The sequence below is a fragment of the Homo sapiens genome, chromosome 8 (assembly GCF_000001405.40).
Source record: "Homo sapiens chromosome 8, GRCh38.p14 Primary Assembly".
Classification (NCBI taxonomy): domain Eukaryota; kingdom Metazoa; phylum Chordata; class Mammalia; order Primates; family Hominidae; genus Homo; species Homo sapiens.
In genome coordinates, this window is record NC_000008.11 from 85,851,863 (window position 1) to 85,861,222 (window position 9,360).

The window sequence follows — 9,360 nt, forward strand, 5'->3', positions numbered from 1 at the left end:
AAAATAGCCAGAAGGAAAAATAGAGAGATTGAGAACTTAGAAAGCTCTGCATGTTAACTCTATGGTTGGTTGTAGATTTTTAACAAGCTTAGAGAGTTTGAATAATGGCCATTGAGCTCTGAATTTTCCTTGACATGAAGGAAAGTTTGCTCATTAGTTTAAAAATGTGCATGAGAACAGGCCATCATATGTAGCCAGCTGGAGTCTCAGAAAACCTGGCATGCCTTAATGTTTGAGAATCTCACTTTCTTTCTTATTAATCTCTCAAGAGCAAAGAAAATCCCATAAATCCTGTCAGAGAATGTCAGGAATTTGGACTAGTGTTTCAGGTATTCGCTTTTTAAATTAGTCATTCTGTGTCCGCCATTTAGGATGTATATTTTCGCTCTCAGAAGCTTTTCAGAAATAAGCTAGAGAAAAGAAGATCCAAGTTACTTACAGACATGTGTAACTAAACCAAAATCAGAGTGTTCACAAAAACTTTAACCCATGTATGCAGACCAAACAAAACATTAAACTAGGTGTCCAGAACCAATGTGAATTCACCAGAAAAGTCATGCCTGAGAAACAATATAAATTCTGTAAAAACTAGAGTACTCTTATCTTTACACCAGAAAGCGTTTGCAAAACAAACAAACAAACCCCCAAAACTTCCATAGTTTTAAGAGGGATGCAAGTTCCTTTATTTAAGGCTGCCTTAGTACCAAACCAAATCCTGAAGAAAGTCAAAAAGCCTCTACCAAAAAGAGACTCAGCCTAAGAGAAGATTCACCAGGTCAGAAAAGACAAGGCATGCACGTGGCGAGCTCAGAGATCTCAAGTGAATACTGCACACCAGTTCCAAGAATCGCAGATTCCTTCTAAAAGTGCTCTTGCTTCAGGTCCTGCTTCTGGACACATTTATGTCAACCTAAATAACAAACAGAGAGATGCTCTTTAAAAGAAAACATTTATTCAGGGATAGGACACTATAACTATTCAGAAATAGGACACACACTGTATGTGTGCCATAGTAAACTGTGTGAGTATTCAGGGAGGTAAAGGAAGACAAAGGTTTTTAAAAGAAAAATGAGGAAGATTACATAATTATTGCAAGATAATTATCTTTGCTACAAGGATCAATAACAAGGTTGGACAGGCAGTTGCTGGGCAGATGTCTTGCAGAAGTTTTTCTATGTAAAGTTGCAATGGCCTTTGTGCAAGGTTGTGGTTTTTGCAGTCTTATGTGATCATTCTTACTAAAAGTCATTTATGCATAAGAACTCTCCTTTCATGACTTTCTTCAGCTGTATTTTTTTTTCACAAGTGACTCCATTTTGATGTTAACAATTCTCACAACTTAAAGTCAACTAGTTGTAAATGTTAGTCACATCTATAAAATACATTCACAGCAAAGCTAGACTAGTGTCTGACCATACTACTGGGCCCCATATCTCAGCCATGTTGACACATAAAATTAACAGTCACAGCATGTGAAAACTGAATGGTGCTTCCATGTAACCAGAAACAAAACAAGTGACCAATGAGATCCTTGTGGCCATGAAAAGGTTGCCTTCACATACTTCAATGTATATATAAATCACTGGAGATTTTGTTTAAATACAAATTCTAACCCACTAGGTCTGGGATGGGGCCTGGGATCCTGCAATTCTAACAAGCTCCAAGATGATGCTCATGCTGCTCATCTGTGTCTGAGTAACAAGACCTCTGAAGACCTGCCTGAGAGTAGTAGATGGCCAAAAAGACAAGACAGGCTTAATAAATGGCTGAAACTGGGGCACAAGATAAGCAGGAGACTCTGAATATGAAATTATAATGTTCAAATTTGAGGTGAGCCAGAAAAGATGTAACAATTGCAGCAACTTCTGCAAAGCAATAGCAGAAAACCTCAGGACTCTCTACTGAAATAATTGGCTGCTTCTGGGAAACGACAGTTTCAGAGTCCCAGTGACTAGTAGGCAGAGACCCATATGAAATATCAGAAGAGCACTGAGCATATTAACCTCGAAACAATGCAATGGGAAAGCATTAGCTGCGTTTCCGACATCTCCAGATAAATGAAGGGGCTGTGATTAAATGAGACCACACTGGTGTTCCCATGTAGTAATTAGTTACGTAAGTGTCTCTAAGTCAGTGGCTCTCAAACTTTTCCACCCAAATTCCCGTAATAGCAGAGGAGAGCTAAAAATGTATTCCCAAGAGCCTGTCTTAACAAAGTCCACAGCCCTTTAAAGCTGCACATTTTCACTCTTAAAGGCCTATAAATGTATTCTATATGATTTAGGGTTCTCCAGAGAGACAGAATCAATAAGGTAGATAGGTAGATGTAGATATTTGAGAGGGGATTTATTAAGAGAATTAACTGATGGGATTATGGAGGCTGAGAATTCCCATGGCAGGCCATCTGCAAACTGGAGACCGTGGGATACTGGTAGGACAGCTCAGTCCAAGTTCAAAAGCCTCAGAACCAGGGAAGCAGATGAAATAATTTTCAGTCCAAGGCCAATGGCCTGAGAACCCCGGGGGCGGCTGGCATGTCTTAGAGTCAAAAGGCCAGAGAGCTTGGAGTGCTTATGTCCAAGGGGAGGAGAAGAAGAACACGCCACCTCCAGGAGAGAGAGAGAGAGAGAGAGAGAGAGAAACTCACCTTTTCTCTGTCTTCTGTTCTATCCAGGCTCCCAGCTGATTGGATGATGCCTGCTGACATTGAGGGCAAATCTGCTCCACACAGTTCACTGACTCATGCCAATCTCCTCTGGAAACCCCCTCACAGACACACCCAGAAGTGATGCTTTTCCAGCTCTCTAGATATTCCTTAATCCAGTCAAGTTGACACCAAAAATTAGCCATCATGTATTCCATTCCATAAAATAACTGAGTTTGTCTTAATATAAAAGTATTTTATATTATTTGCAATCAGATAAACTGAATTTCCAGCAAACAGGACTCAGGCCTTCTCATCCTCCTGGTACACATAATATACCACCTAGGGGAACACTTAAGAACTTTGGTCACCTGCATATTGGTCATCTACATCAGAGGCTGACAACTACTTCTGAGGGCAGAATCTAGCCCACCATATGTTTTTGTAAATAAAACTTTACTGGAGCACAGCCATACCCACTATGGCTGCTTTCATACTACAGAGGCAGAGTTGAGTAGTTGCCACAGATACTGTAGGGTCACAAAGCCAAAATTATTTACAGGAGGTTCTCAAATAACATCATTTCATTTAATGTCATGTTTGTTGATGAGAAAAGAATTGATTCCCAGCCAGATCTAGACAAGGGGAGTTCGCATGTTCTACCATTGTCTTCATGGGCTTTCTCTGGGCACTCTGGTTTCCTCCCACAACCCAAAGATGTGAACGTGAGATGGGTTGGCGTGTCTAAGTTATCCCAGTAGGCATGAGTGTGGGTGTGTGTGTGTGAGTGCCCCTACCATGGGATGGCATCCTGTCCAGGGTGGGTTTCTGCCTTGCTCGCTGAGCTGCTGGGATAGGCTCCGGCCACTCTGACCCTGAATAAGTGGTTTAGAAAATGAATAAATAAATTAATTAATATAAATTATTTCAGAGTAAAAATGTCATAAAGTATATGGTAATCATACAAATGCATAACAATAAACGATGCAGCATGAAAGCACTCAGAGAGCCTGCTGTGTTGGTTTTTGTTTGTTTTTGAGTTGTGTGGTGGTAGGAGGTACTCCTTACAATTTTCGTTTTGCAAATATTTATTCTTTGATTTAACCCATGACTACTACAACTGCCATCACTCAATGATTCACCAAAAATTGGGTAAATAATTATCTCATTTGTTTTAATTAATCTTAAATGTATGTATAGCCCACATTTATTTCAATGTTTAATATTAGAAGTGTTTTGGGTTTTTATTTAGAAGTTTGGTGATGATTTTGTGACCAGAAATATGTAGGAGGAATTTAACTCTTGTTTAGATTAATTAGCCTATGGTAAGATTGGTTTCATTATATGTCGTTTCACTTAAAGTTGCAGTTTCCAAGAACCTATTGAAAACGTTAAAGTGAGGACTTATGTATTATTTGACTCTTCAAAGAAAAAGTTTGGCCACCCTGATCTAAATTATTGTGTTGCTTTTCCCTTAATAAATGATGTTACTACTTTCCCAGAATTGTATGTAAAGAGTCCTTTCAGATGTTATAAATGAAGCAAGCCTGAATTAGTTAGATCCCACTGATTATTGGCTCAGACATTGATGTCTATGGAGTGAACAAGATCTTCAATTAGACACACTCATTTAACTCAAGTAAAGCAAACGGGGTCAGCCGTATTGAAGTGAGCCAGCTTTTCCAACCTGAGCTGAACCCGTGCCCCTGGACAGGCAGAGCTAAAGTTGTCTCATGTAAATGCAAATGCCTTCTTGTGTAAGCTATTCTGTAATGAATGATGCAGGGGAAATTAGTGTTTAGACAGCCTGGTACTGATAATTATGGATTACAAGAAAAAAATTAAACATAAAATGAGGAAAGTGGGCACGAGGAAATGGAGAAAGTACACACTCAGGACAGCTGGAGGAATTTAGTATCCTGGAACCTGACAGCCCAGAACAGTTCAGAGCAGATCCAGCCAGGGCAGCATTCAAGCAAAGCTTTGAGACAATGCTGAGAGTTTAATCCGGGATAAATGTGGCTGACAAATCCAAAGGACAGGCATTGGGCTAAGAATAGCATATAAGCCAAGGGAAAGGAAACCCAGATTTGAAACCGAGCAAGAGGAAGGACGACAGCCAAGCTAGGAAATATGTAGAGGATTACACCACAGAGAAAGGGAAACTAGCTTGCCTTTAATGGCTTTTAAGTCAGTGTTTGAAGTTTGGGCAATTTGAAGCAGTTAGAAGAAACTGAAGCTGTTTAGCAGGGTCATCCATTCAAAAAATACAATTTCAGGGTGCTTCTGAAGTTATATATATATACGTGTGTGTGTGTATATATATGTGTGTGTCTGTGTGTCTGTGTGTATGTGTGTGTGTGTGTGTGTATATGTGTGTATATATATATGTGTATATATATATGTGTATATATATATGTGTATATATGTATGTGTATATATATGTGTGTATATATATATGTGTATATATATATGTGTGTGTGTATATATATATATATATATGTGTGTGTGTGTATATATATATATATATATATATATATTTTCCCCCTGAGTTTGAGGGCAAGACTTAAAGAACCACACAGAAAAAAATCTTTCTTCCTCAGAAATTCTGGGGTAGTTAGTCCCAGGAATTGGGGATTGGAAAAGCAGAATGAAATTTTCAAGGTAAAGCACTTTACTTACAGCAAAAGTTGTAAACTTGTTCCTGAACGGGCTTGACTTTAAGGAATGGAAAGAGATTCATACCCCAGGAAATCTCAAAAATGTTTTGCTTACATGGGGTCAGTATCGTCTCTGTAATCATATTATATACATGAAATCTGATTGGCTTTATATATTATCTATACCAAGAGTTTTTCACTTCTGGGTAAAATGCTCCAAATGGGTGTTCCTCCCTTCCACCCCCTAAAAATAAAATAACTAGCCCAGTTACTATTGTTGCTTATCCAGTGTTAACTAGATGTACAGAGCTATAAAAGGACAGGAATTCTCTCAAACAAGTAAACATGTTGTTTCCCGTGTCTCTAACTGGTATCCCTGTTGTGTCACGAATGGCATCAGCCTTAGGATGAAGATGACGTAGAAGATAACTAAGTGGTGGGGCTGGAAAAATCTTAGCTCTTGCTGGCCTCATGAAATCACTGGTGTACTCTATGCTGGACCTCCAGTTATAGGAAAGATAACATTTCTATTTTGCTTAGATCATTTTGAGTTGGAGTTTCCATTACTTGCTGCCAAAATCATACTGATGCATACTGATATGGCCAGGTCCTCCTCCAGATGCTGAGGATACAATGGTAAATATGAAATAGACAAGGGTTAACTGGAACAGCAGCAAAGAAACCAGATAATTTTAGCAGAATAATTGATGATGGCTATTTGACCCCCAAATTGGTGCTACTGTTGACTGATTTCAATTTAAGGAAGGGAGTGAATCCTGGGGGTGCAATACCAAACTCATTGTAGGAATTACAGTTTCTAAAAATTGAATGGTTATTTACATGCTTAACGTTGAGGAGACATTGGAAATAGGAGATGTTATGGGGGGCAGGGGAAGCAGGGATGCTTCCACTAGGAAACCTCCTTTAAAGGGTACTCAGAAAGAGTATCCAAGAATATGAAGGAAAATCAGGAGAATATGGAATCAAGGAAGCCAAGAGAAGAGTATTTAAAGGAAGCCATGGTCAACTGTGCAAAGCAGCTTAGGAGTTAGGAAAGATGCTGGCTGTAAACTGTTAGATTTAACCACAACAAGGTCAATGTGAACCACGACAAAATAAGTTTCAGTGTGGAGAGAGTCGTGGGTGTTGGACGGGAGGGAATTGAACAAGGAAAGGAGGGAAAGGCAGTGGAGTCAGGGATTATTTTTTCAAGCAGTTTAGCTGGAAAGGGGGATAGAAAAATATAGAAGATTGTGCATATTTGGGGAGGAGAGGGAGAATTTCAAAGTTCCACAGAAGATTCTGTTTGGCCCTCCTGATTGAGAACCTCTTATAAAGAGGAATAATCAGTTACATTTAGCCTTTATTACAGGCCCATACTATACAATAGGTATTCAGAAGGGGCCTGTTTTAAAAGGTCCACCCTGTGAGTCACATAATGAACAATGACAATTAGATGGGTAGGTTAGGATTTCCCAACAATATACTTGCTGTGTTGAGTTTGGCTATGAAGGGCTTTTAATTTCCTGTATAAGATTGTTATTTTAATTACCTTTCTCAGGGAGTTTTGCTTACTTACTCTATGGTTTTGAATGGTGTTCAAAACTTACTCGGTGCCGAGGCCAGCTCGGTCGGGGAGACCCTAATCCAGTGGCGCTAGAAGAATTAAAGGCACACACACAGAAATATAGAGGTGTGAAGTGGGAAATCAGGGGTCTCACAGCCTTCAGAGCTGAGATCCCAGAACAGAGATTTATCCATGTATTTATTAACAGCAAGCCAGTCATTAGCATTGTTTCTATAGATATTAAATTAACTAAAAGTATCCCTTATGGGAAAGGAAGGGATGGGCCGAATTAAAGGAATAGGTTGGGCTAGTTAACTGCAGCAGAAGCATGTCCTTAAGGCACAGATCACTCAGGCTATTGTTTGTGGCTTAAGAATGCCTTTAAGCGGTTTTTCACCCTGGGCGGGCCAGGTATTCCTTGCCCTCATTCCAGTAAACCCATAAGCTTCCACCATGGGCATTATGGCCATCATGAACATGTCACAGTGCTGCAGAGATTTTGTTTATGGCCAGTTTTGGGGCCAGTTTATGGCCAGATTCTGGGGGGGCTGTTCCCAACAATTTGGTAAGACTTTGTTTGTTTTTAATTGCACATTTGTTTTTAATTCACTTCATATATATTATGAAGTGAAGTGAATTGAAAATCACTCTGGTCCTACCACACAGAGAAAACCTCTCTACACATTTCAGCATGCTTCCTTTTAGTCTTTTTTGCTGCATGTGTATTTGTCAGCACCTTCCATGTGTTTACTACTTCCTTAGGCCTGGGCACCACTGGAAGCAGCCATGAAATGTGAAGCCTAGACCCCACTCTCCAAGAGCTGACAGTATATTTGAAAGGAAAATCGTACAGAATGAGCTGCAAGAGGGAATCATGGCCAGGGCCAACATTAAGGGGAGGCAAGTGAGGCCGCATCATGCAAGGGCAGGATCAAATTCTGGCTTTATTTTAAAATGTGATATTTTGTTCATCCTGAAATTTTTTTGTGCTAATTTGATTTTTAAAAAATATTCTATCAAAATATTATACATCTTAATTGCTGAGTTGTTTAGGGCCCCTTAAATTTTGTGCCCAAAGAGAATGCCTCACTGGCCTCATCTTGGTAATCCCCTGGCTGACAGCATGGGCCTTAGATTCAGACAGATGTAGGTTTGAATCCATCCCTCACGCTTACTGGAGATGTGACCTGAGCAAGTTACTTGCCCTCTGTAAGCTCAATATTTGTAAAGTGGAGCCAGTTAAATTAAGTAAGTTAATACAGCTAAAGTACTGATAAGCTTAAGGACGTAACAGATATTTAGTAAAAAGAATATTATTTCAAAACAAAATGAGTGATCTAAATATTCACTATAAAATAGCACTGTTCAATAGAAATTGAATGTAAATCAAGTGATTTTAAAAGCAGCTATTTTTTTAAAAGGTGAGTGAAATTTTAATATTTTAATGTTATTAAACTCAATATATCTAAAATATCATTTCAACATAAAAGCAATATAAAAATTATTAATGGGTTATTTTACATTTTTTAATACTAAGTCTTAGAAATTAGGTATGTATTTTATACTTACAGCACACCTCGATTTTGACGAGCCAAATTTCAAGTGCTCAGTAGCCACATGTGTCTGGTGGCTGCCATATTGGATGGCACACATATAGACCTTCTTGGAAGATATTTGGAGACTAGAGTAGTTGAGACAGAAGTGTGGAAAAAGTAAGGCATTTTTAAACCTGGTTAATAAGGAAACTTTGGAAAGAGAACAACCTTCAGGTATGGGACAGTTTCTAATATCCTTTGAATAACTCTCTTTGAAATATGAAAGGGTACGATTGGTCAAAAGAAAACTTCAGCTGAATTAAATTTAACAGAGTTTAATTGAGCAAAGAACAATTCGCAGATGGGGCAGCCTCCCGAGCCAGAGTAGGCTCAGAGACTCCAGTGCAGCCATGTGGTGAAAGATTTATGGACAGAAAAAGAAAAGGAACATGCAGAAAACGGATGTGAGGTACAGAAACAGCTAGATTGGTTACAGCTTGGTGTTTGCCTTAGTTAAACATGGTTTGAACAGTTGGCCACATTTGATTGGCCAAAACTTGGCTACTGTCACAAGAGTAGGCTACAGTCTGTTTATACCTCTACTTGTTATGGTTAACGAGGTACAGAGAAACCTTTAGGCTGAACTTAAAATATGTAAGCAGGCAACTTTAGGCTAAACTTGATTTAACAGAATATTTGGGAATACAATTAGGAAAAAAATATTCAATGGGAAGAAAACATTACTCCCCCTTTAATTTCTACCAGTTTATCAAACGTTATTTGCTTCTGCACTATCCTTCATTCTCTTATTCTATTTCCTTTGGATTCTAAGAACATCTTAATGTTATTTCTGAGCACATTAGCCATGGATTTGAAATATTTTGAGTTTTAATTTAGTCTGTTCCCTGGGCCAAAAAATTGATGAGCATTTGAGAGCATAGCACCTAGATATTT

General features: G+C 38.8%; 1 long non-coding RNA gene across 1 annotated transcript; it reads right to left on the reverse strand.

Annotated features, from left to right (window-relative positions):
* Nucleotides 1-656: 656 nt before the first annotated feature.
* Nucleotides 657-3,519, reverse strand: LINC02849 (long intergenic non-protein coding RNA 2849). Its single transcript, XR_001745725.3, has 3 exons — nucleotides 3,442-3,519; nucleotides 2,648-2,814; nucleotides 657-910 (listed from the first exon to the last, which is right to left on the reverse strand). It is a non-coding gene; the product is annotated as a long intergenic non-protein coding RNA 2849 (long non-coding RNA).
* Between the last annotated feature and the right edge of the window lie 5,841 nt (nucleotides 3,520-9,360).